Source organism: Homo sapiens, chromosome 8, assembly GCF_000001405.40.
Source record: "Homo sapiens chromosome 8, GRCh38.p14 Primary Assembly".
Classification (NCBI taxonomy): domain Eukaryota; kingdom Metazoa; phylum Chordata; class Mammalia; order Primates; family Hominidae; genus Homo; species Homo sapiens.
This window is the reverse complement of record NC_000008.11, coordinates 42,284,346-42,310,372: the sequence shown is the minus strand read 5'-3', so window position 1 is coordinate 42,310,372 and position 26,027 is coordinate 42,284,346. Positions and strand designations below refer to the sequence as shown.

The 26,027-nt window shown below is 48.8% G+C and overlaps 1 protein-coding gene and 1 long non-coding RNA gene across 17 annotated transcripts in view, besides 9 other annotated features; both read right to left on the bottom strand.

Moving 5' to 3' along the window:
- The window catches only part of IKBKB (inhibitor of nuclear factor kappa B kinase subunit beta), a 61,159-nt gene that overhangs the window by 22,088 nt on the left and 13,044 nt on the right, over window positions 1–26,027 (bottom strand). For 9 of the 16 annotated variants that reach the window (NR_033819.2, NR_040009.2, NM_001556.3 and 6 more), the window contains 6 exons: window positions 21,645–21,739; window positions 20,100–20,217; window positions 16,861–16,930; window positions 5,098–5,186; window positions 3,941–4,030; window positions 1,348–1,472 (listed from right to left, as the gene is read on the bottom strand). Coding sequence is in view for 13 of the 16 variants with exons in the window: in NM_001556.3 (NP_001547.1) it covers window positions 1,348–1,472; window positions 3,941–4,030; window positions 5,098–5,186; window positions 16,861–16,930; window positions 20,100–20,217; window positions 21,645–21,739 (587 nt within the window). In the remaining 3 variants the exon portion in view is untranslated. Of the gene's footprint in view, window positions 1–1,347; window positions 1,473–3,940; window positions 4,031–5,097; window positions 5,187–16,804; window positions 16,931–20,099; window positions 20,218–21,644; window positions 21,740–26,027 lie in introns of those variants that run through there. The other 7 variants (NM_001242778.2, XM_047421759.1, XM_047421762.1 and 4 more) reach the window with 5 other exon arrangements.
- Window positions 3,148–3,819: an enhancer, noted in NCBI's record as "H3K27ac-H3K4me1 hESC enhancer chr8:42164072-42164743 (GRCh37/hg19 assembly coordinates)". NCBI's record gives its function as "activates a minimal SCP1, AML or CMV promoter by ChIP-STARR-seq in primed H9 embryonic stem cells {active_cell/tissue: H9 hESC(primed)}" and the evidence as "EXISTENCE:reporter gene assay evidence [ECO:0000049][PMID:30033119]".
- Window positions 3,372–3,421: an enhancer, noted in NCBI's record as "active region_27310". NCBI's record gives its function as "activates an Ori minimal core promoter by ATAC-STARR-seq in GM12878 lymphoblastoid cells {active_cell/tissue: GM12878}" and the evidence as "EXISTENCE:reporter gene assay evidence [ECO:0000049][PMID:35858748]".
- Window positions 3,820–4,492: an enhancer, noted in NCBI's record as "H3K27ac-H3K4me1 hESC enhancer chr8:42163399-42164071 (GRCh37/hg19 assembly coordinates)". NCBI's record gives its function as "activates a minimal SCP1, AML or CMV promoter by ChIP-STARR-seq in primed H9 embryonic stem cells {active_cell/tissue: H9 hESC(primed)}" and the evidence as "EXISTENCE:reporter gene assay evidence [ECO:0000049][PMID:30033119]".
- Window positions 4,413–4,482: an enhancer, noted in NCBI's record as "active region_27309". NCBI's record gives its function as "activates an Ori minimal core promoter by ATAC-STARR-seq in GM12878 lymphoblastoid cells {active_cell/tissue: GM12878}" and the evidence as "EXISTENCE:reporter gene assay evidence [ECO:0000049][PMID:35858748]".
- LOC105379395 (uncharacterized) lies at window positions 9,026–14,700 on the bottom strand. Its single transcript, XR_949714.3, has 2 exons — window positions 12,290–14,700; window positions 9,026–12,076 (listed from the first exon to the last, which is right to left on the bottom strand). It is a non-coding gene; the product is annotated as an uncharacterized LOC105379395 (long non-coding RNA).
- Window positions 16,526–17,725: an enhancer, noted in NCBI's record as "CDK7 strongly-dependent group 2 enhancer chr8:42150166-42151365 (GRCh37/hg19 assembly coordinates)". NCBI's record gives its function as "activates an origin of replication core promoter dependent on BRD2, BRD4, P300/CBP, MED14 and CDK7 cofactors, with strong dependence on CDK7, by STARR-seq in HCT116 cells {active_cell/tissue: HCT116}" and the evidence as "EXISTENCE:reporter gene assay evidence [ECO:0000049][PMID:35650434]".
- Window positions 16,665–16,874: an enhancer, noted in NCBI's record as "active region_27308". NCBI's record gives its function as "activates an Ori minimal core promoter by ATAC-STARR-seq in GM12878 lymphoblastoid cells {active_cell/tissue: GM12878}" and the evidence as "EXISTENCE:reporter gene assay evidence [ECO:0000049][PMID:35858748]".
- Window positions 17,335–17,394: an enhancer, noted in NCBI's record as "active region_27307". NCBI's record gives its function as "activates an Ori minimal core promoter by ATAC-STARR-seq in GM12878 lymphoblastoid cells {active_cell/tissue: GM12878}" and the evidence as "EXISTENCE:reporter gene assay evidence [ECO:0000049][PMID:35858748]".
- Window positions 17,415–17,464: an enhancer, noted in NCBI's record as "active region_27306". NCBI's record gives its function as "activates an Ori minimal core promoter by ATAC-STARR-seq in GM12878 lymphoblastoid cells {active_cell/tissue: GM12878}" and the evidence as "EXISTENCE:reporter gene assay evidence [ECO:0000049][PMID:35858748]".
- Window positions 17,745–17,884: an enhancer, noted in NCBI's record as "active region_27305". NCBI's record gives its function as "activates an Ori minimal core promoter by ATAC-STARR-seq in GM12878 lymphoblastoid cells {active_cell/tissue: GM12878}" and the evidence as "EXISTENCE:reporter gene assay evidence [ECO:0000049][PMID:35858748]".

The following is a 26,027-nucleotide window of genomic DNA, read 5'->3' as shown; positions in this document are numbered from 1 at the left end:
TTCTTGGAAGACAGCAGGTGCCTGTGGGGAGGTAAATGAGGGCCTGGGAGGCTGGTATGACTTCACTGCATACTCCCTTATTCTTCTGGAAATTTGAGCCACATGAACTTATTACGGTTCCAAAAAAAATAAAACTTGAAGTAAGTAAATTTTGAGCAGAGTAGCATCATTTAAACTAGTGTGTGGCCTCTCAAGGAACAATCCTAAATGAAATCTAACTGATTTGGGGGAATATTCATTTTTAAATTATGGCTTTCAGTAATAATTAACTTTTATTTCTTTTCTGCCCCCAGTTCTTGATTTAAACTGACAAATAAAAATGGTCTATATTTATCCTGTACAACATGATGTACACATTGTGGGATGGCTACATTGAGCTAATTACCATATACATTACCTCACATACCATTTTTGGTGGTGATAATTAACTTTTATATAAACATATCCTGCACAATGCATTATTTCTTTAATCAGTAAAACAAAAGCTAAAGAATACAGGGTAATTCTACAAATCTTCATCATATCCTTTAATTTTTACTGGAAAAATTTTTGTGTAATTTATTAGGTTCACAATTTCAGCTACATTCTTATGCTTTATGCTCAGCTGTTGTTTTTTTTTTTTTTAAACTTTTTTTGTTTTGAGACAGAGTCTCACTCTGTCGCCCAGGCTGGATTGCAGTGATGCGACCTCTGCCTCCTGGGTTTAAGCAATTCTCCCACCTCAGCCTTCCGAGTAGCTGGGATTACAGGCGCCCGCCACCACACCTGGCTAGGGTTTTTAGTAGAGACAGGGTTTTGCCATGTTGGCCAGGCTGGTCTGGAACTGCTGGCCTCAACTGATCCACCTGCCTCGGCCTCCCAAAGTGCTGGGATTACAGGAGTGAGCCACTGTACCCGGCCACATTCTTACGCTTTAAAAACAAAAATTTATATTCAGGTTGTAGTAACATTTGTCAACAACAAATTTTCACATATTTCCTCCTGACTTGTCATGTGTACACGTGTTTTATTTGTTTACTAACACACAGCATTCTCAGTGTAAGTGCGTATATTCATACAATAGTCTTACTTCTGAACACAGAGCAGATGACACTGACACAGCATTGTATTTAAAGATGTGAAGGCTCAGAATCCACATGAAGACTTAACAGCTACTCTATCTATTAACAGGTCCTTGGAGCACAGACCACTCCCCTACTCGTGCTAGGTCCTGACAGGCCTTCCTCTCGGAAGAGAAACAACACAGATCTCCCAGGCCCGGTGATGGGGCGCCAGGGAAACAGGGTACGTGAAGAGAAAGGAACAGACAGGCTCCCTCCTCCATCCAGGTGCCCCGGGCCCACTCACCACTGCACGGGCTGCCAGTTGGGGAGGAAGGGCCGGAAGCCCGTGATGCACTCAAAGGCCAGGGTGCCGAAGCTCCAGTAGTCGACGGTCACTGTGTACTTCTGCTGCTCCAGTAGCTCTGGGGCCTGCAGCAACAGGAGGGGGTACACCTGAGCTGCTCCTCTCTGGGGGGACCACGGCAGGAGGGGGCGGCCAGCCCATCTGCTTTCACCCCTGGCTTCATCCTAGAGGGCACTGGCACATGCATGCAGGGCGAGGAGGGCACCCCAGGCATGTTTAGCGGGTATATCATGCTACCATTTCTAAGACCTTTCTATGTCCCACTCACTCCAGTAGGTACTGATGGAGGGGCTAAAGATTCAGGGCCAGAGTACATCACACACCCATCGCTAGGCTTTAACTTCTCTCCTTTAAAACTGAGGGTTGCAGGCTGGACGCAGTGGCTCACACGTGTAATCCCAGCACTTTGGGAGGCCGAGGTAGGCGCATTACTTGAGGTCAGGAGTTTGAGACCAGCCTGGCCAACATGGTGAAACCCCGTCTCTACTAAAAATACAAAAATTAGCTGGGCATGGTGGTGTGCACCTTTAGTCCCAGCTATTCAGGAGGCTGAGGCACAAGAATCGCTTGAACCTGGGAAGTGGAGGTTGCAGTGAGCCAAGATCATGCCACTGCACTCCAGCCTGGGCAACAGAGTGAGACTCTGTCTAAAAAAAAAAAAGAAAGAAAGAAAGAAAAAAAAGGAAAAAAAAAAAAAGGGTTGCAGCATTTCAGGCGCTTATTGAAAACTAGCTTAAGGCAGGACACAGTCGTGGGCACTGTGTAGAAATGGGAAGAGAGGCTACAAATGTTAAAGGAAAATGATGCCAGGCTGTCCACACCAAATACACGCATTAAGTGCTGGTTGAACCCCTGAACCAGGTACCATGTGGTTGCAGAAAGGGCCAGGATATTTAGAAACAGGCAGGGAAAGTGTGATGCATGGCTGCTGCTGAGGCAGAGAGCGCTGGGGTGACCGAAGAAGGGGCGGCAGCACGGGGTGCTGGGGGTGCAGACTGGGCTTAGCAGGTGGGTGGAGACAGAAATGACTGGGGCAAGCAAAAGCACAGAGACAGGGTGGTGCATGGTCTGGTTGGAAATGTGAAGCTTAAGGAAGGGCCCGGGAGACCAAACCAAGAGAAGACATTCCGGGATGGGTAGGTCAACCTCTATGTCTGGTTATGGGCAGACGTTTTAGCTCATGTGAGTACATGACTTGACTCAGCTCCTGGTTAGAGCATGGGGTCCCCCTTGCTCGACTGCTGCTGAGCTGAGGAGGACTCCAGAAGGATCTACCAAATCACATGCCATATGGACACAGGCGCCTGAATCACAGCCCTCTGTGAGACCCACTCTGAAAGCCGCAGACTCCTTGAGTCACTCCCAATTGTGGTGGCTACTGCCATCATCAAGCAACCTATGACAAGTCTTGCTGGGCATTTGTGCTAAGCCCTCCTGGAATCTAATTGCCCTCTACATCTTCACTGCCCCTACCTCACCCACTCTTCCCTCCTGTTCAGTGTGATTCCTTCTCCACACAGTGTCAGGAGTGGGCTTTCCAAAGAGTTGCTCCTTCTCCCACTTAAAACCCATCAATCTCTGCAGAGGTTTTAAGATAAAGTCTAGAACTTTAGCCCAGCCCTGAAGGCCCTTCATAATCTGTGCTCTACCTTGTTCTCAGCTTCAACTCAAGACTCTCTTTCCCTTTTGTGCTCGGTTCCAGCCACACCTGCAGGTCTTCCTGTGTGTGATCCCTTTGCACGGAATTCCCCCTGCCGTCCCCCACCTCCAGCCCTTTTCACCTCCTTACCCTTCAAGTCCCAGACCAGGCTGAGGCCACCCAATATATATTCTTGCAACACCCTGCACTCTTGCTTTGTAACACTCACCACAACTGTAATTTCTTAGTTATCTGTGTAAGCATCACAGTAATGCTTGCTTTCCTGCTAAACCCTAAGCTCTGAAGGCCGAAAAGGGCTTGTCTTTTTTCCCCACTGCATCACCAGCCCTGAGCACAGTGCCTGACACAGACTACACTCCATCAATATGCTTGAATGAATGAGTGACTCAAACAGAAACCTAATATTCAGACCAAATAACGTAAACAAAGGGTGGGGAGCTCAGAGCTCTGACCCCTACTCAGTGGCCCCTGAAATACCTCATGGAAAGTGTGGCCTCGGCCAGGCTCAGTGGCTCCTGCCTGTAGTCCTAGCTGCTCAGGAGGCTGAGGTGGGAGGACCGCTCAAGACCAGCATGGATCTGTTTAAAACCCTTTCCTTTCAGAGAAGACACTGAAGCACAGAGAGGCTAGGGGATGGTGCAAGGCGCATGAGCAGAGCCCTCCGGACATCAGAGAAGACGACCACATCCCTCCACAGGGCATCTGGTGGCAAAAAATGCTGACTCGACCAGGTTATGGGTGTGACCTCATGCATCTCCAAAACATTCAGAGAGCCGGTGGGACTCAGGTGCTGGGAGCAAGGCAGGACAGGAGCCCCACAAATGCAGCAGCAGGGAGGAGCTGACAGGCAAACAGGCAAGGCCCACTTCTTACCAGGTACTGCAGGGTCCCCACGAATGATGTGCAAAGACTGCCCTGATCCAGCTCCTTGGCATATCCTAGGTCAATAATTTTGTGTATTAACTAAAACAAAAGGAAGGAGAAAGCTGAGGGTTATAAGAACACAATGTCCTTCTACGAGGATTCTGACTGCCTGGTGTTAGAGCAGAGGTATTTCTGAATTCCCAGGTACTATTAGATCCCAAACTCCTAAGAGCCACCAGATACACAAAAGAATGCCCTCGACACGGTAGATTCAGGGCTAAAAGAAAAGGCATATTGTAAAAATGCTAGGCACGTGTCCTCCCACACTCTGCCACGCATCATCAGAGGGAAGCTGAATGAACAGAACAGGCACCAGCCCTCAAGACAGCTAAACCCAGACTTGAAACAGGAAGGACCGGGCCAGCCTCTTCTCAGTAAATGCCCTCAGTTCTCAAATCTGAGCACCACTGACAGGAGTGAGGGTGAACTGGAACAAGGGCGAGCCCTGTGGTAGTCACAGGCCAGGCCTAGGTGCTAAGGGCAGCTGTATGGGAAGGGATTAGGTGATCTAAGAACTCATTCACTGTATTCCACTCAGCTGAGCCTGTGCTCACCACCCCAGCTGAACACATAGAGTGGGTGGGTAAAGACCACAATGTCAAGCTTGTGGGGCAGTCAACACCACGTCTGAGCCGGGTGGCCACTGAGGAGGCCACAAAGAGCTCTGGGGAAACTATAGGCTGGACCAGGCTTGGCAGCAGAGGCCAGCTCCCAGTGCCTCTTCCCAGCCACATCCACAACCAACTGACCACTGGTTTCCATTTAGAGTCGAGAGGCGAGGCTCTTAAAGCAAATGGAAAACAAAAAGTCGACTTCCAAGAAGCGCTAGTCCCAGAGGCTAGGGGTGGAGGTAGGAAGGCAAACATTATTTTCCTTATCAGATTCCTGCAACTTGAGCAACTAACAATGTAATCCATTTAAACTTGCCTCAATCTGCAACAACTTTTTTGCTCAATTTTGTTTCAAATCAAACAGCATTCCCAGAGAATCAAAGCACAGGCAAGGAAATGCAAATACACACAAATATGCAGAGTGTGCTCCTTTCCTCCCAGGCCACTTCCCGGCACGCCCACCTGAGGCTTTCCCAGTCCCAGGAGGTCACTTACCCTCTGTTCTCCTTGCTGCAGGACGATGTTTTCTGGCTTTAGATCCCGATGGATGATTCTGTTTTCATGAAGGTATCTAAGCGCAGAGGCTGAGGAAGAGGGGGGTGAGTTTTTCTTAGGCCTAAAAAATGCTTTTCATGACAGAATCTCCTATCCTGCAAAAGATAAATGCCGCATGCCCCTGAAACATACTCTGACTTGTAGCGCAATACCTCAGGGTGGAGGGCAGGGGCCCTGCTACGTGAGGCTTAAACTTCCACAGGAATCTGGCTTACTTGCGCAAAGCACTCTTTGCCTTGCATCCATGAGGTCACCAACTGCAGCCTAGAGCAGTGCTTCTCAAACTATACTACCTGGACCAGCAGCAAACAAGCTTGTTCAAAATGTGAAATTCTCGGGCTCCACCTGAGACCTCTGGATTCAAGTCTCTGGGGATGACCCCACGATCTGTGTTAACAAACTCTCCAGGTGATGCTGACGCCAATAAAGTTTTGAGAAGGGAAGTTTCTTTGGTCTAGAGGCTCAAAAATCTAAATTCTATAGGGTGGGCAAGGAGGAAGGGCCCTTGGGGACAGAGTCCTATGGTCATATGATCGACAGTCCCAAGAGGTCAGAACTGGCTTCCAGGAAGCAGCGGGGAGGCAGAAGAGGAGAACAGGGACACCTCCCACACATACAGACAGCCCTACACAGACTTACTACATGCCCAGTTCTCTGGGAGGTTCTGTGAGGGACATAAAATAAGGGGCATGATCCCCAACTTTAAAGAGCTCAGAATCTAGTTGGAAGAAAGCAGACTGCACAACACTGGCTACGGAAGCATTTGATACCAAGAGCTTCTGCTGTGAGGAGGCAACGTGATGATGTCACATGAGGAGGCACCCGCCTGCAGCTCAGATGGCAAGAAGGACATGATTTTACCCTCAAGAGAGGGTGAATAACTTTGACAGACATCTAGTTCACTGCACTATAAAAGAAAGAAATGAAATAAATAGTACTGAAATGAGATAAAATTATTTTTATTTGGAGATGCTATGACTAGAGATGGAGATAGATTTGGAGATGTAGCCTAGAGAGCTCAACAGACTAAACACTGGATAAAATTTAGCCAGTTGTCTGGAAACGAACAAGAATACACAAGTCAATAGCTTTTCTCTATGTTAGCTATATCCAGTTGCAGTGGAAAGGAAAAAAAATCCCATTCACATTAGCAACAAAAACTCCAAAACACCATGGGATACATGTAGCAAAAAGAGCAGTGTATGCAGGAAAGTCACATGGTATAAATAGAACAGTGCAAATAACATTAAAAGGTTTTCAAAGTTTATGGCAAAAGATACTATAAACAAAGCCAAAAGATAAGAGAGGTGGGGAAACAATATCTACAACACATACACCAAAGAGTAAAGATACCTAATAGATAAAAAGCTCTTATAAATCAATAAGAAAGCAATGCAGAAGAAAAATGGGGCTGGGCGCGGTGGCTCACGCCTGTAATCCCAACACTTTGGGAGGCCAACGTGGGCGAATCACCTGAGGTCAGGAGTTCAAGACCAGCTTGGCCAACATGGTGAGACCCTGTATCTACTAAAAATACAAAAAAATTAGCTGGGTGTGGTGGCATGCCCCTGTAATCCCAGCTACTCGGGAGGCTGAGGCAGGAGAATTGCTTGAACCCAGGAGGCAGAGGTTGCAGTGAGCCGAGATCATGGCCACTGCACTCCAACCTGGGTGACAGAGTAAGACTCTACCTAAAAAAAAAAAGAAAAAGAAAAAGAAAAATGGGCAAAGAATGTCAAGTGGTGAGAAAGCACAGAAGAAGAGATACAAATGGTATCACTTCACTGGTAGCCCAAGGATACTTACTGCATATCTTGAATGAAATAATTAGAAACAGACAGTCATTAGGAAATGTTAGAACAAATTATGGTAGTGCCACATTAGAACAGGCAACTCTTGGGTCTATATTTTCTGACTCAGAGGGATAGTTAATGGTATGACCTGTTTCTTGTTTAAAACTTAAAAAGTCAAAAGCAGTAACATTCAGAGGTTTAACAATGAACCCTCTGTATGCCGTCGCCGCCACCACCATTCTCATTCTCTCTGTTTCTCTCTCATTCTCTCTCTCATTCTCTCTCCTCTCTCTCTCTCTCTCATTCTCTCTCTCTCTCTCTCTCTCTCTCATTCTCTCTCTCTCTCTCTCTCTCTCTCTCTCCCTCTCGGCAAGCCGGGGAGGGGAAGACCCCTGAGGCCCAGGCAGCGATCCTATCTGCTGTCATGGGTACGGCCCTCTGTGCAGGGTAACGGAAAAGCCTTCCACAGAAACTGAGTAAGCAAACATTCTCTGCAAAGACTCTAAGCTGAACATTTGCTGAAAACATATTTAAGAGTCAAACTGAGAGCTGAACAACTGACTTCCACCTTATTAAAGGAGTTCCAGCTCAGAACATTAAGCTATACATGATGAGTATCTCTTATCCAAAATGCTTGGGATCAGTTTTTTTTTTTTTGGATTTTGGAATACTGGCATATTCCTAATGAACCCAAGCTTAAACACAAAATTCATTTGTTTCATATATACCTTATATGAAACAACTGAATTTTTATAAATGATTTTATAGTCTGATGGTAATTTTATACAATAGTCTTAATAATTTTGTGCATGGAACAATGTGTTAAGTACTTAAGTGTGGAATTTTCCACTTCTGGCATCATGTCAGTGTACAAAAACCTTCAGATTTTACAGCCCTTTAGATTTTGGACTTTGGGATTAGGGATGCTCTATCTGTGGTGCCAGATCTCTCCTTGCATCTGCTCTTTTAAGTCCAGCCTTCGACCATGTGGTTCCAACATATCATACTGTTCCTTACTTTTCATTTCCTTCCTAAGTGACAGAGTAGATCAGCTTAGGTCCAATTAATGTCCAGATGAGGTGAAAGACTCGCTGCTTTCCATGTGCCTAAAAAATTATATTTCATCTTGTTCTCAATTGTGTTAATGTTTCAAGACCAATGCTTCTCATCAGCACTTTTATTTTTGTTTTACTTTTATTAAAAATCAAAGCAAATGAAAAAGCATAATAAATTAAATGAAGTATAAAAAATAGCTGCACTAACACAGCCTTGCAGACAGGGATGGCACTGCTGTTGAATATGAACTACTGGCTGGCAGAGAGCAAGGCCATGCAATAACTCAAAGTGTCTGTTAACTGATAGGTTCACAAAAGACCTGTTTTGGTATATGACAGACTGCTGGAGAGTATCAGGATGTAATACATAAAAGTGTAGGTTAGTTTTTTCCAAAGCAGAATATATGGAAGTTGAGATACTGTAATTTGAGCAAGTACACATGCCCAGACTGAGACAAGGCCCCCAGAGCTGGAGGCTAACATCTCAGGGCAAAACCCAGGGCACAACCAGGTGAGATGTCCCCAGAACCCCCCAGTGAAGAGGAGGAGCATTCGGATTAGACCAAAGGCACCGCTCTCTACGCCACGTGGATTAGAGTTGTCACCAGATCTTCAGTGAGGAGGGACAAGAGGTTGGTAACTGAATACTCTGACTACTATTAATATCTGTCTATTTTTATGCTTAAACAACTGTACAAAACAAACTTTATTCCTCATTTCGGGGTGGTCATCTATTCTTCAATACCTCTGTCAACTTAATAAAGTCCAGATTTAAAGAATCCAACAGGTATTGTTACACATAGTTTCTGGGACTGAAATGTAAAAATTCTGATAGGCAAGTCCTCTTAAATGTACCCTGCAGAGAATAAGCTTTCAAAAAGCTTGGTTCAGTATCACTGTGCTACATTTTACAAAACAGTACTTCAGAGCTAAAGTGAAATGAATCAAAATTGTTTCAAGCCCAGAGAATCTAACTTTGTTTAAATTTGATGAAAAATGAGACATTGAGATGAAGAAAAATACTGTTGAATCTGGAAGTTTATTAAAAATCTAAATCCCTGGCAATAGCAGTAAGACATGTTTATAAAAATTAAAAGCCACACCACAAAGCATAAAACTGTACCAGGTAATTTTTCATGTTCCCATTACAGAGAAGAGCTGTGAGAAGCACCACATTGCAAACTATTAAGCTATTCACAACTACACAGTGAGGCCAGGCATGGTGGCTCACACCTGTAATCCCAGCACTTTCGGAGGCCGAGGGAGGAGGATCCCTTGAGGCCAAGAGTTTGAGACCAGCCTGGGCAATATAGCAAGACCCTGTCTCTACAAAAAAAAAAATTTTAATTAGCCAGGCATGGTGGCGCATGCCTTCATCCCAGCTACGTGGGAGACTGAGGTGAGAGGATCACTTGAGCCCAGGAATTCAAGGCTGCGGTGAAACATGATCGTGCCACTGCACTCTAGCCCGGACAACAGAGCAAGACCCTGCCTCTAGAAAAATGCAAAAACTAAAATAAACGACACAGTGCAGTGTATGCAGGAAAAACACAAAAACTAAGATAAATGACACAGTACATTTCCACAGAATGGGTCCACATGGCAGACTTGCCATAGGAAGATAACAGCCTCCTTCTCTCACCCTCCTCAGAAGCCGTGCCCCGGTGGTAACCCCAGCCTTTCCCTGGCTCATGAGGAAGGCACAAACACATAACTGAAGAACGCTGACAATCCTGTGGGTCTTATTGATGAATCACAGCTCCGAATCACAGCCCCACAGCCCTATGTATTTTTTTCAGATGACAAACCACAAACTGGGGAACAGATAAGAGCAGCAAGACTTCCGAGAAGAAAGCAGTTTTATAAGGGTGGGTCCATGAATCTCTATCTATCACAAGTTTAGAGGGATGACTAAGTTCCCTTCAGAACATTTTTGTTTGAGCTACATTCCATAGAGAACAGGTGGAAAGAGAAATGGTCCAAAAGGCTGAGATAGAGGTTAGAAGGGTACAAAGATGGTTGGTTGTCAACTGGCTGGTAATCCAAGTCATCACTGAGTGAGAAAGGCAACAGGATGTCCGTTCCCTCAGTAAAACCTACTGCCTGGGTCCTACTGTGCCAGCCACTTCAATGTCACTGGGCTTCCCAAAAAAAACAGACTTGAAGGCCAGCTGTGGACATGGGGAGAGAGACTGAGTCTGGCTAAAGGTTACTTGGCTAAAATAGCCTTCAATTAATCAGTGAGGCAGCAAGGCAGTAACGTTGGGTGCCAAGGCGAAAGTGCGACAACTTCACTAATTCACTCAGCGAGGCTCTATTGAGTGTCCACTATCTGCACACAATGGGAAACATGCCACTGAATCAAAGCCTTTTCCTAACTTCCTGCACAGTCTGGTCAACTGGCCCCAAACCCGGAAGTCAGCCCTCACTGCCAAGGCACAGACAGAAATCACAGAGCAGTAATGGCAATGCCAAGCGTCAAAGGAGCAAATGAGGTGACATCAGCAGAAAGACCCACAGGAAAATCCCCGTGACCCCAGGCCAGGCAATCCCCACAGAGGGGCAGGTCTGCAGCTGTGCCCAAAGGACGGGCAGGCTCAGGGTCTCTGGGAGGTGCAAGAACAGCTTCCACAAGGGGCAACGCGTGCAAGGCCAGCAAGGGACAGGTGGGTTTGGAATCACGCACGGAGGCTGGCGGGTAGGTTCTGTGGGTCACGTGCAGAGGTTGGCAGGTGGGTTCCGAGGATCATGCCCAGAAGCTGGCAGGTGGGTTCTGCGGGTCACACACAGAGGCTGGCAGGTGGGTTCTGTGGGTCATACACAGAGATTGGCGGGTGGGTTCTGAGGGTCACGCCTGGAGGCTGGCGGGTGGGTTCCAAGGGTCACACACAGAGGTTGGCGGGTGGGTCCTGTGGGTCATGCCCAGGGCTGAGTGGGAGAAAGGTACGGCGAAGGGGCTGGGCCTTTATCTAAGAGTGGACTGTGATGGAAGTGCCCTTCCAAGACAGAAGGGTAGGTTAGCACACAGGGTTAAGGAGGCCAGGGAGGAGGTCGCTGCAGGGATTTGCTCTGACATTGAATCAGCAGAAGCAGCGGTCTGCAGCCTCCGTAATGCAAGGCTATGAGCAGGAGCGGGGGCTGACTCTGTGAGACCAGGTTCGACACGGACACTTGGTCCTGGGCAGCGGGCAGAAAGTGGCACCATGACACAAGAAAGGGGATGGCAGGAGGGACCTGGCTGAAGAAGACAACCAGAGCTTCTACTGGAATTGACTTTGGAAGAAAGACCTGGCAGACATGGATATGACTTTAGGATGAGTTCAGGGTTGAATTCCAGATTCTGGGAACAATATGGTGAGAAACAGGCCACAAGAACGGCCAGGGAAACAGAACGTCGAGGAGCAGCGGGCAGCCAGCGCAGGGGCAGGGAGGGAAGGACGGACAGGCGAATGCAGGGGCAGGCAGTGGAGATGAGACACAGAGCCTGTGGGAAGCAGTTAGGCCACCAGCTGGCGGATGTCAGAGATGTCCCGGGGCCACCATCCTGAAAACCAGATTTCTGGACAGTGAAATGGAGTTGTTAGAGGGAGACGGGGCCCTAGAGAGCACTCGGAGGTCCAAACCCCTCATCCTAAAGAAGGGGACGCTGCGGCCATGACATTCCATGCCTCGCCCAAGGCTCTAGAGCTATAAAATGGTGGAGCCATGACTGAGGGCCTGCTGTCTTCTCTCTCATTGTTACTGTATTTATTAACCTGGTTACTTATGCTTTCCAAAAAGCTTTATGTGCAAATGATCTTTTGCTATAATCCACACTTCAGTCAGATGGATGCATGCAATGGAACCAGTCAGAAGATCCACAATGCTAGACAGTGCACCTGATGTGCAGTTCCTGGAATGGAGCTCTCTTCCCCAAAGCCAAATGTTTTCTCTGAAACCCTCTGTTCTTTAACGCTGAAGTCCTGGATGCCTGCTAGGAGCAGCTCGAGAAGGAAGCAGGGACAGCAACAGAGGGGTGGGTTCCCGAAAGGCCTGGAGCACAGGATGGTGTCACCACAGCAGACTGGCCACCTGCAGAATCCAGGAAAGGCTGATTCCAATCTAAGATCTGATAAGACCCAGGCCCGCCCAGCAGAGCCACACCCCATCAGGCAGGAGAGAGCACCACAGCCTGCCCTGCAATCTTGAGTGCCCAGAATTTTGAGCCTCCCTTGACAAAAGAAAACACATGCCAATGTTTTCCAAAGGATAATGAGCAAGACTGTTTAAATAGAGTCCACTCACATATAACTTCCTTGAGCTATTTTAGGGTCACATTACGTGGCAGTCCATATCATTTCCAGCTGCTCCACATGGGTCCCAGGTCTCCTATCAGCATGGAGTGATGGTCTGGCAGAAGAGTCCTGGCCAGGATGCAGGGGGCTCACCTCTGTGCCCGCCAGGCAGCTGCTCATTCTTTTTTCTTTTTTTTTTGAGACAGAGTCTCGCTCTTGTTGCCAGGCTGGAGTGCAATGGCGCGATCTCGGCTCACTGCAACCTCTGCCTCCCGGGTTCAAGTGATTCTCCTGCCTCAGTCTCCTGAGTAGCTGGGACTACAGGCACACGCCACCACGCCCAGATAATTTTTGTATTTTTAGTAGAGATGGGGTTTCACCATGTTGGCCAGGCTGGTCTCAAACTTTTGACCTCAGGTGATCCATCTGCCTCAGCCTCCCACAGTGCTGAGATTCTAGGCATGAGCCACCGCGCCTGGCCATCTGCTCATTTCTCACAGGCACTCTGCAGCCTCTTCTTGGGCAATTTGAAATTCAGTGGAAAAATCCTATCCATGTCTGTTATCTTGACACTGTTCTGAGCGGGTGTCTCTGGGAGGTTAGCGGCACAGAAGAGAGTAGGGGCCAACAGTTTAATCCAGAAGAAAAGGCAATGAATCCGGACCCAGCGGTCAAGGGTGTGGCTCTGCCACTTATCTGAAGTCAACCTGGCAGAGAACAGCAGTGGCAACTCCAACAAAGGAAATGTGAGGCCAGCACTTGGAACAAACTGGAACAAAATATGCTCAGGAAATGTTCCAAAATACAAAAGAGCTATGTTAGATGAACTCCGGCTCAGTCACCAGATCCTTGCAAAAAGAAATTTAATGGATTTAGAATACAAATCAGAAACAGGGATAAAAGTAAAATACGAGCTCATCAGCAGCCTCAAAAACAAAACCGGGGCTGCACTGCACCCAAAAGGTGGCGGAGATGTGAACAGGTCTGAGGAAGGCTGGCCTCTTCCAGGATGGGAGTCTCAGAAGGCACCCACCCGTGTGGTTCCCTGGATCCAGCCTCAGGTCATGCCCTAAAGAAGGCACTGAAGGTTTCCAAAAGGAGAGGCCAAAAATCAAAATCCAGAGCGGGAAGGAAATGAGCAAGGAACTAACACTTGCTGACTGCACATTCTGCAGGAACAGAGCATTGTGCTAGGAGCTTTATTTATATCACCTCATTTTATTCCATAATTCTAACAAGGTGAGTAACGCTCCCATTTTACCGCTAATAAAAGGGTGTAAGTAACGTGCCCACGGTCACACTGCTAATAAGCAAAGGAGCCAGTATTGGACCTGGAGCTGTTCATGATGTGTGGACATTTGATTTTAAAAAAAAACTAGGTCCTTACTTATTTTAATTTCCTTTAGGATTTATTTGATTCATTTGACAATTTTTTTTTTTTTTTGAGATGGAGTTTCACTCTTGTTGCCCAGGCTGGAGTGCAATGGTGCGATCTTGGCTCACTGCAACCTCTGCCTCCTGGGTTCAAGTGATTCTCCTGCCTCAGCCCCCCGAGTAGCTGGGATTACAGGCATGCCCCACACCTGGCTAATTTAGTTTTTAGTTTTTTGGGTTTTTTGTACGTTTAGTAGAGACGGGGTTTCACCATGTTGGCCAGGCTGGCCTCGAACTCCGGACCTCGTGATCTGCCCACCTCGGCCTCCCAAAGTGCTGGGATTATAGGCGTGAGCCACCGCGTCTGGCCTAATTTAGTATTTTTAGTACAGATGGGGTTTCTCCATGTTAGTCAGGCTAGTCTCAAACTCCTGACCTCAGGTGATCCGTCCGCTTCCGCCTCCCAAAGTGCTGGGATTACAGGCGTGAGCCACCGCATCCAGCTCTCATTTGACAAATATTTATAGAGAAGATTATATACTGCTATTCTAGATGCTGAAGATAAGCAGTGACTGAAGTTTGTGCCCTCAAGAAGTTTAACTGTAGTGTACTAGTTAGTACTTCAAAGTCAAATTATTTCCAACTCAGGGTCACAGAGAAGACAGACAGAGAATCAGCAACCTACAGAATTTAATATTCACCTACCTATCTATCTATAGGAGACCTATAGCACACAAGCACTTAAGAAGAAGCACCTGTTTTCATTATTCTAATTTATGTGTAACTTAAATACATACATGCACACAATTTGAATAAAATAATATAAAAGCTACCACACAAGTCAATAGTAACTGAATTCAAAGTGGACCCAGACCAAAAGAATACGTAACCAGAGAGGTTCTGTGAATATCAGCAGCAAAACACCTGCAGAATAAACAACCATATGAGGAAGCTGAGAGTTATGTGCACTTGTGCCAATAATTTTTTTTTTTTTCAAGATGGAGTCTCACTCTGTCACCAGGCGGGAGTGCAATGGTGCAATCTCGGCTTACTGCAACCTCTCCGCCTCCTGGGTTCAAGCAGTTTTCTGCCTCAGCCTCCCGAGTAGCTGGGATTACAGGCGCCCGTCACCATGCCCAGCTAATTTTTGTGTTTTTGGTAGAGATGGGGTTTCAGCATCTCGGTCAGGCTGGTCTTGAACTCCTGACCTTGTGATCCACCCGCATCAGCCCCCCAAAGTGCTGGGATTGCAGGCGTGAGCCACTGCGCCCGGCACTTGTGCCAATAATTTAAAGACTTTTGGCCAGGTGCTGTGGCTCATGCCTGTAATCTCGGCACTTTGGGAAGCTGAGATGGGCAGATCACTTGAGGTCAAGAGTTCGAGACCATCCTGGCCAACATGATGAAACCCTGTCTCTACTAAAAATACAACAATTAGCCAGGTGTGGTGGTGTGCTCCTGTAATCCCAGCTACTCAGGAGGCTCATGGAGGAGAATCGCTTGGACCCAGGAGGCAGAGGTTGCAGTGAGCTGAGGTCGCCTACTGCAACACCAGCCTGGGCAACAGAGTAAGCCATCATCTCAAAAAAAAAAAAAAAAAAAAGACTTTCGTAATAACTACTTGCTAAAGTCATCAACAGCCTAAGGAGTGAAAGAAAAATATCTGAGAGAAAAACATCCAAAAAAAAAATAATAACTTGACAAAGCTTTAACCAAAGAGAAACAAAATAAAAATCACCCAAGAAAAGCAAGAGAATACTCCCCAACCTGCTAACCTGCCTTCAACCCAATTCAACAGAGAACAAATGAAGAATCTGGCCACTGAGGTAAAAAATACAATCAAGTAAGCCTCCAAGCAAAACATGGATGGGTGAGCCTTGGGTCAGGGTGTCAAGAAAACAAGTGGAATTTCTAACTGATGGATTATGCTCTAGGTAGACAGAGAAGAGACTCATGCGGGCCATGTGCAGGGGATCCCTTGGGCCAGCACTGGGTGCTCATTCGAGTCAAATAAAACTGATGTAATGTCAACGTATCCTCCATGTGAACTCCACCCAAAGGGACGAAGACACAGCACAGAGCAAGATGGGAATTTTCTGTGTCAGACTATTTGGATCTTAACCTTAAATATGTCATTGCTTGACTTTTCCCCTTCCTTTCCTTCTTGCTTCTCCTCTGTCAAAAGCAGCAGTCAGGAAGAGACCAGACCCACACTAGCAAGACAGTGTTGGACCATCAACCCTTCCAGGCCCTGGCTTAGAGAAGACAGCTTTACAAATGAGGGAGAATGTTAACATCTGGTGAACCGAGGGGAACGGTATGTGAGTTTTGCTGTACTACTCTTTTAACTTTTCTATATATTTGACAATTTTCCAAAAAAACTTGAGCAAACAAAAAGAAAAAATGTATACAGCTTTGAAAGGTTGAGGTAGTGGAGGGATGAAAATGGCATCATTCTCCAAATCTGGAGGCAAAGAGTCAAAGATAAATTCTGATAACTCTAAACCTTAGACCCCAACTATCAACTTGCACCAACAACCCTGGAGATTATTTTTTAAAAAAAACAAAAAGCTCTGAGCAAGTCCCTCTCCCTGTCTCCCCAGGCTGGGGCCAGGTGCTGACCTTTAGCGCCCAGCCCTCAGACCCCTCCTGAGTGAGCGCCAGGGTCTAGGAGGCTCCACTGACCTCTGCAGGCTGAGGTCACTCTTCTCCATGAATGGCCAGCTTGGCCTTCTCAGAGGGTGCCGCAGATGCCCTCATTTGGGGAAGCCAACAGTACCCAAGGGATTAAAAAGGACAGTTTTTCCTACGCCTCTCATTGGCAAAGAACTGCCTACGTGGGAGCGGAAAAATTCACTGCCAAGGGACAAAACTCATTCGAATGACAACTTATTCCAGCGCCGGCCATTCCAGGAAAGGAGGGAGGGGAGCTTTATAATGGGAAAGGAAATCTGTTATTCCCTATACATCATAATTCACCTGATGAGTTAATCAGGAAGGAAGGGAAACCTATTTGAGTTCAGCATCTGTCTGGCTGACTCCTTGTTGACCTCCCTACTCCACCAGGGTCCCCCGTCCCTGGGCTCCCATTCCCCTTCCACAGAGACCAAAGGATTGAAGTGTCTGCCTGCAGGGCTCCGCAGGGACTCACAGGGGCACCACACTCTCCCTGAAGGACACGGCCTGAATTCCGGGACTGGGATTTACCAATGTCACTCAGCAAGGTGAGGATGGCACCTTCCCGCAGACCACAGCAGTTCTCAAACTGGTTCAGGTACTGTCAAGAAAGTGAAAAGCAGCATCAGAGCTGGTGGTCACAAACCACCGGAAATCCACACATGTCTCTTACCAGCCCATGTGACCAGAGTGCTGACCCTGGGCCCTGGTCTTTAGGGGACCTGCTTTTGAGGAAGCCAGGGCTGCAGAACTAGCAGGGATTGGCCGGAGGAGGAGGAGGAGGAGAAAGAGGAAGCAGTCCTGACCACCCCAGGGCTCTCACATCCTCACAGCAAGGGGCCTCTGAGGTGAGTAAAGTTTGATTCTCACCAGCTGCTGCAGTTCTGAGCAAGGCAGGCTGAAGTCTAAGCACAGGAAATAGGAATTCTCTGTGCATGAGAGTCCTAGAGACGGGCCAGGCTGGGAGGGCATGACTGGATACCACCCTCCGACCACCGCCCTGCCATCTCCTAGCCATGTGGGTGATGGTAACAGTAGAGAACAGTTACTGAGCACTTACTACGTGCCAGGGGCCGGAAGAGCTCTGCACAGATTAGCTCAGCAAAGCCTTCCCTGCGTGACCTCATTTAATACTAACCACCACCACTGAGTAAGTACGGGTGGAATCCCCGTGTTGGAGGAGGAAACTGAGGTTACACGGTCGGATACCTGTCAGCTCACACAGCTGTGAGAGGGCAGTGCTGGAATGCGGCGCCAGGTCAATCTGAAACTCAAGCCCAAGCCCTTAATCCCCTGCCTTCCTGGCCCCCTCGACTGTCAAGAGGCTCTGTGTGCTGCTGGGAGCTGGCCTCCGAGGAGGGCGGAGAGAGGAGCTTCCCATCTGAGCCTCACCATTGGAATTCACGTCATATTCATAAACACTCATCTGTTTACGTACCCAGCATGTAGACTTTTAACATCGACTCTTACATGTCCCCATGTGCTGGCCAAGCCTGCCTCTCCATGCCCACGGGTGTATTATAGATTTGAACTTTTTAGAGGGAACAAAGGAAACAACACATAACAAGACACTGGGCAACAGTGTCCTCCCCCAACCCCGCTGGGTGACAGCAAGGACAGGGGTCCCTTAGGATGCGAGCCCTTCCTGCCTCCCCCTCAATCATCCTGCAACCCACGCCAGGCCAGTCATGTTAAACTTTCGATCTCTTCTTCCCTGGCTCGTTGGCTCTTTGCCACCTAAAAGACCAAGTCTAAAAGCCTCTGCCTCACTTCAGAGCCCTCTGTAATCTGGCCACATCCCACCTACTTCCAGACTGCCCTCTGAGAAGTCTCCACTTGACTACAACATGGCTTTATCTCTACACAGCTGCAGTTAGTAATGGGTGACTGTCAAAGGTTAGAAAAATAAGGAGAAAATCGAAGTGCTGTTGAGTTCCCCCATCTCTCATTGTGGGTGATGCCAAGGGCTGTGTTCATATCCTGCTGTGAGTGCCACTCCCAGGACATGCCTATCTCCAGGGAGAGCCACTCCAGCACGCCAAGCCCCATGGAAAGTTTCTTTTATTTTATTTATCTGTCTCTTTGTTCTGAGACAGGATTATCTTTTTTCTTGAGACTGAGTCTTGCTCTGTCACCCAGGCTGGCATGCAGTGGCACAATCATAGCTCACCGTAGCCTCAACCTCCCAGGCTTAAGCCATCCTCCCACCCCAGCCTCCAAAGTAGTAGGGACCACAAGCGCACACCACCACATCTGGCTAATTTTTCATTTTTTATTTTTTGAGGAGACAGGGCCTTGGTATGTTGCCCAGGCTGGTCTCAAACTCCTGGCCTCAAGCTATTCTCCTGTCTCAGCTTTCCAAAGTGGAAAAAAAAATTTTTTTTTAAGAGGCACAAGGGCCTGGAGGAACAGTGAGAACAGCACCTGAAGTGTGTCTGGGAATGGCCACTGAACAGGAATAAACGCCTGGGCTCCCGCCCCCACTATTGTGACCCTTCTGGAGTGAAGAGGTGCACTCGCAGAGCAACCGACCTCTTTTTCAATTAAAATAAAAATTGTTGTTGGCTGGGCGCAGTGGCTCACACCTGTAATCCCAGCACTTTGGGAGCCTGAGGTGGGTGATCATTTGAAGTCAGGAGTTGGAGACCAGCCTGGCTGATGTGGCGAAACCCTGCCTCTACTAAAAATACAAAAATTAGCCAGGCGTGGGGGCGGGCGCCTATAATCCCAGCTACTCGGGAGGGTGAGGCAGGAGAATCACGTGGACCCAGGAGATGGAGGTTACAGTGAGCCGAGATCACGCCACTGCACTCCAGCCTGGGCAATACAGCGAGACTCTTGTCTCAAAAAAAAAAATTATTTTGTTCAGAGCTTCCAGTTTTCATAATGTTATATGGCCTTATTCAGCCTCAGAGATGGAGAGGTGGCCTGCAGCTGGGTCTGTGTGGGCTGGGACCCAGGCTCTGCTGCTACAGCTGTGTGAGGCCCAACCTCTCTGGGCCATGACATCCACCCATCATGTGGGAACCATACCTGTGCACCCATGTGTGAGCTTTTGGAAATCGAATGAGGTAACATGTACTAGCAGGCTGTGTGGTACTGTCATAGGGAACAATGGGGAGGAGGGCACCCAACTGCCCCTGAGACCAGGAGGGGCTGCCATCCACCCACCAGAAGTGAACATTCTAGGGAAGAGGAGGTGGTGTGGTGAGAAGGTGGAGAATAGAGCCCCACAGATGAGTCCAGGTGGGTCAGGTGGATCGGATGGATTGGGGCGGGTCTGCAGCCCTGGCCCGGCTCTCTGATCATGAATCCTGCTCCCTCTCTGCTATGCTCCCTGCCCCCGTGTGTGGTGCTGTCCCATCTCTAGAATAAAATCCCTCCTAATAAGGAGAGCAGTGGCACTGGCACCAAAGGCCTAACGTGGCCCTAACATGCCCAGGGAGGAAGCATTTGTTTTGGAACTTGCCCAGTCCTTCCCCACGCCCAGACCTGTGATGAGTTTTCCTTGTCATTGGAGTAATCCCAGCAGAGTGTGCAGCACGCCCTTACCCCTTCCCTGGTGTTCTCGGAAGCGCCTCTGACTCACACACACACCAGCCCCAGGTGGGCAGGGAACAGAGGATCTGAGAGGCAAAGCAGCCCTGCTGGAGTCACTGGGGCTCCCCAAGCTTCCTGATGATGACAGAAGTGAAAGGTCTCCCCATCCCTCTTCCTGGTGTCCCACCTGCCCAGACAGGCTGTGCACCTGGCAGCCGTGGGAGCCTCACCTTCCGGAGATCTCCTCCTTGGCAGTACTCCATGGCCAGCAGGGGCAGGTCATTGGGCGCCAAGTTCTGCATCCCCTCAGGGACATCTCGGGCAGCCACCACATTGGGGTGGGTCAGCCTAGGAGGAGGAAAACCGATGAGAGCAGACCCAGGCTCCTGCCCAGACCCATCCCCACCACCCCCACCAGGTCTCAGCAACAAAGGCCCAGGATAACCCAGGGCTTTGAAACAGAGGAAGACAGAGCCCAGGACGGGTGGCCAACCGCAATGCCTGGGTCAGTGGCGCTCACCCAGCCCCACTCACAGCACCAGAACTCAGACCCTGAGGGCACAACTGCGTGTAACTTCAGTTTTTTGTGCGTGCCACATCCCAAGTCCTCATCGTGCTGCCAAACTGCTCCTACAAGGACCTTTCAATCTCATGCCCTCCACATGGGGAGGATGTGTCACACACGCAAGCAGGCAAACAAGGTGGTGCCTGCTCTTTTTGTTTTCATATTTTTTTTCTTTTGTCTGTTTAATTTTCGGCAGGTTGGTTCACGCACACACATCACCCCAAGGTGGACACACAGAGAAGGGTCTGAGAAGGAACTCATGTAACCAAATGGAACCATGACATAACCAAATAGCACCTCCTCTTTTTAAGAGGCTGGCAGAGGAGCCCCTGCTTGGTGTCCTCCTCACTGGCTCTTTCGGAGCCCACCTCACGCCTCACTAGCTAGGGGGTCAGCAGCCACCAGGCAGATGGACAGCCCCGTCTCCACACTAGAGGAATAAATGTCAGCGACAGCATGACAGCAGAGAACGGTCACATACCACCTTGGAACTGGAAATATAGGAGGAAAGAAGGCTTTTTTTGCTGACAAAAGAAAAGTCACTGTGATAACTGTGTTAACTTATTTAATACAATGAAATTGATGAACAGCCCTTGACAAGGCCCAGTGTGGACTTTAGCTGCTCTTCCTCTGGTGTCTTTAGAAGCAGCAGAGTCACCGTGGAGACTGCCAGGCTGGCGCCCTGATGGAGGGGCAGATATTTAAGACTCTCTTCTCTTTTTTTTAGACGGAGTCTCGCTCTGTTGCCCAGGCTGGAGTGCAGTGGCTTGATCTCGGCTCACTGCAAGCTCCGCCTCCTGGGTTCACGCCATTCTCCTGCCTCAGCCACCCGAGCGGCTGAGACTACAGCGCCCGCCACCATGCCCGGCTAATTTTTTGTATTTTTAGTAGAGACGGGGTTTCCTTGTCATTGGAGTAATCCCAGCAGAGTGTGCAGCATGCCCTTCCCCCTTCCCTGGTGTTCTCTGTAGCTGGGACTACAGGCGCCCACCCATGCCCGGCTAATTTTTTGTATTTTTAGTAGAGACGGGGTTTCACCATGTTAGCCAGGATGGTCTCAGTCTCCTGACCTCGTGATCTGCCCGCCTTGGCCTTCCAAAGTGCTAGGATTACAGGCGTGAGCCACGCACCCAGCAAGACTCTCCTTTCTAGACACACCGGGGGCTGCTGCTCCAGCTTTCCCTTGGGTCCCTATGCGCGAGGCCCTCACCTTCTCATGATCTGGATCTCCAGGCACCACCGCTCTCGGTTCCGGGGGCTGAGCTCCTGCCGGCACTGCTTGATGGCAATCTGCTCACCTGTTTCCTACAGAAACAGCACAGTGGGGACCAGCAGAGCGAGCTGCAGGCCAAATCCCACCCTGTCTGCTGCATGGGAGGGGTCTCCAGGCCCCAAGCGTTACCTGCAATCACCTCCTGGTGCTCCAAGGTCACATGTACACCCTGATCGACAGCCACGTAGCACCTGCCCTTTGGGCTGTCTCCTTACCACTCCACCTCTCACCCAACCTCTCCAGCCTCATTTCTTTCTCTCTCTTTTTTTTTTTTTGTTTGAGATGGAGTCTTGCTCTGTCGCCCAAGCTGAAGTGCACTGGCACAATCTCAGCTCACTGCAAACTCCACCTCCCGTGTTCAAGTGATTCTTGTGCCTCAGCCTCCTGAGTAGCTGGGATTACAGGCATGCGCAACCACACCTGGCAAATTTTTGTATTTTTAGTAGAGACGGGGTTTCACCATGTTGGTGAGGCTAGTCTTGAATTCCTGACCTCAAGTGATCTGCCCGCCTCGCACTCTCAATGTGCTGGGATTACAGACGTGAGCCACCGCACCCAGCCTCTCCCACCTCATTTCTATCCATCCAGAGTCTACAGAGCCTTCAAGGCCCTGCTCCATTCCCAGCTCCGCCATGAAACCTCTACTGACCATTCCTGCGCAGAGAGGTTTCCCTGTCCGAACCCCGGCTGCTGCTGTATTAGGCTGACCCATGGGACACTGCTGATAATTGACCACATTGACCTACAAAAATGGCACCTGCATGTGGTTCAACCTAATAGTGAACACCACATTGAGTGTCTTCATTGTTTCATGTGAGAGTTTTGTCCTTTCAGAGAGAACGCAAGCATAATATGGCATAATATAGCAGATGAAACACTGGCTGGTTCAAATTCCAACTGTGCCATTTACTAGCTGTGTGACCTTGGGTAAACCACTTGGTCTGACTCAGTTTCTTCTGTAAAATGGGAATACTGACACCCATCTTTCAGGGCTTGAAAACAAGCCTCTAGCAGGTATTAGTAACCCTGCAGAGCAGGGAACCCAGGTCATCCGAGTACTCCTGTTTAACATCCTACAGAGATTGGCTCCTATCTGCATTTCCAGCCACTCTTCCCACGACACTACAGCCAGACGGCCCCACCCACCCTGGCGCTTGGCCCTGCTCTGCTACACTTGCCAGCACAGGTGCATGGGCACCACGGTCTGCCGAGCTCAAGAGGGTCTCACCCTCTGCTATACTCCTGTAACAGGTAATTCCTTCAGTGCACATGCCAAAGAGTTACTTTCTGCAGAGTAACAGGCTGTTTTCTCTTCTCTTTGTTAAATTATAGACTTGTCCATCTTCATGGGCTTTAACCTCTATCGAGGTAACCAGCAGCATCCTCAGCGGTGGCTCCTCCACCTGGTGAATCATGAGCTGAGCCACTGGCTCCTGGCGGCCTCCCCTCTTCTCCCTGGTGCATGAGTGGGGACACTGGAGACGGGCAGGCCCTGAGGCTGTGGCACGGGCAGCAGGGAAAGCGGCTCTGGCCTCGGGCACTCCAGCTGCCACAAGGGAGTCACCACTGCACCACTGTCACCTCTTTTGGCTATGGGGGGGTCTCCAAGACAACTGCGGGGCAGCAGCTGCCCAAGGCAGCAGCTCCCGGAGCCCCAGCCTGAGAGCCGATCCTGCCACTGCTAAACAAGCTGACCTGCACCAACATCCTGCACCTCCTGTGTACCTACAGCACGAAACTCCCTACCCGCACACACACCTGGGCAAGAGCCACACCTGCAGGGTGGCACAGGGCACCCAGCAGTAGGAGAAGATTTCAGCATTGTACCAGACTCTACTGTGGCTCACTTGAAGGATGTCCTAGAGGCCCTGTTAGGCCAATTTCTGTTTTCTCAGTTTATGAAGATGCAAACTGAAAAGAATCATAAATCTTGTAAGTGAGCAACAGACATGGTACTGAATGGGACTTAAAAAGACACACAGATCAGCCTGGGCAACGTGGCAAAACCCCATCTCTACAAAAAAATGCATAAATTAGCCAGGTGTGGTGCCATGCACCTGTAGTCTTAGCCACTCAGGAGGCTGAGGTGGGAGGATTGCTTAAGCCCAAGAGGCAGAGGTTGCAGGAGATCTGGGCAACAGAGTAAGACCCTGTTTCAAAACAAAAACAAAAACAAAAACAAAAAAAGACACACAGAGGACTGTGGCAAGGCCTCCCAGTGTGGCTGTTCCCATGGCACTCAAGCCACCTCAGTCTCACAGTTACCAAACTGGCCAGGATCCCTGCAGGAACAAGGACCTTCACAGCAAGAAAAGGAAAAATGGAAACCTCCACATACACCAGAAGCTGTCTAATAAGACCACTGAGTCACTGACCAATAAACCAATCCTTAACACCGACACCAAGAACCAAAAGCTTCAGAAAAAAAGGTGGAAATGGAACAGCAGACTCCATGCCAGAAAGGAGGTACTGTCAACACTTCTAAAATACTCTCAGAAGCTGCTTTCATCAAAGCCCAATACCACTTTGGCTAAGCTTTCCATCAGATGGTGACCTTGCATGCCTACTTTTTTTTAACAGCTCTATTGAGAATAATTCATGCACCATACAATTCATCCAATTAAATTACACAGTTCAATAGTTTCTGGCATACTCAAGAGTTGTGAGACCAAAACCACGGCACACTTTAGAACATGTCTGCCATCCCACAACAAAACTCCACACCCATCAGCAGCCACTCCCTACTCCCCGAGCCCCTCTAGTCCTAGGCAACCACCCACCTCTTTCTGTCTCTACGGATTAGCCTGTCCTGGACATTTCATATAAATGGAATCATATATCATGTGGCCTTTTGTGACAGGCTTCTTTCCCTGAGCACTGTTTCCAAGGCTCACCCATGGTGCAGCCACAGGCTTACGTCTGTGACTATGGGAGACCCCCTCAGTCCAGTCTGCGGCAGTAGGCATGGGCATCCAGGTTCTGCCCTAAGTATCCTTCTCATTCTCTTTGTCTAGTAGAACCCTGATCTTTGGCCTAGATTCTGAGGCGCTCTCTGAACAAGAGCTGACCTCTCTCAACAATTGTAAAACCTGTTGCTATTTTTTCTTTTTAGAGACAGGGTCTCACTCTGTTGCCCAGGCTGCAGTGCAGTGGAGTGATCATAGCTCACTGCTGCCTAAAACTCCTGGGCTCAAGCGATCCTCCCACCTCAGCTTCAAGTAGCTGGGATTACAAGCATGTGTCATTGTGTCCAGCTAATTTTTTTTATTTTTATTTTATTTTTGTAGAGACGGAGTCTCACTATGTTGCCCAGGCTGGTCTCAAACTCCTGGCCTCAAGTGGTCCTCCTACCTCAGCCTCTCTAAGCACTGGGATTACAGGCCTAAGCCCCTGCACCCGGCCACCTTGTTGCTATTAAACTGATTAGTACAGTGGTACAAACCATGGTGGACACAAGTCCATCTCAAGCTTTTCAAGAATTAGGGAATGTGTCAAAAGAATAACATTTCTGGCCAGCCACGGTGGCTCATGCCTGTAATCCCAGCACTTTGGGAGGCCCAGGCAGGTGGATCACCTGAGGTCAGGAGTTCGAGACCAGCCTGGCCAACATGGTGAAACCCCATCTCTACTAAAAATAAAAAATTAGCTGGGTGCAATGGTGGGTGCCTGTAATCCTAGCTACTCGGGAGACTGAGGCAGGAGAATCGCTTGAACCCTGGTGTCAGAGGTTGCAGTGAACCGAGATCGTGCCACTGCACTCCAGCCTGGGTGACAGAGTGAGACTCTGTCTCAAAAAAAAAAAAAAAAAAAAAAGAATAACGTTTCTTTAATTGATGTGCAGACCATGTTACACCTCCCTGTACCTCCCGATTCCTGGTCTGTTCTCAGGCTGACGTGAATTTGCTTTCAGGTTTCACTTCCCCACAGTGCTCAGACACATTTTTGCCCAGTTCTGTGGTAGCTTCATCCACAGCAGCTCTGCCTGACGATATCTGCTATGGCTTAAGTTCCACAGTTTTCCATAATTCAATGAAAGCCAATTCCTGTTGTAGCAGTATCACCTCGGTATTTTTTTTTTTTTTTTGAGACGGAGTCTCGCTTTGTTGCCCAGGCTGGAGTGCAGTGGCACGACCTCGGCTCACTGCAAGCTCCGCCTCCCGGGTTCACGCCATTCTCCTGCCTCAGCCTCCCTAGTAGCTGGGACTACAGGCACCCATCACCACGCCCGGCTAATTTTTTGTATTTTTAGTAGAGATGGGGTTTCACCATGTTAGCCACGATGGTCTCCATCTCCTGACCTCGTGATCCACCCGTCTCGGC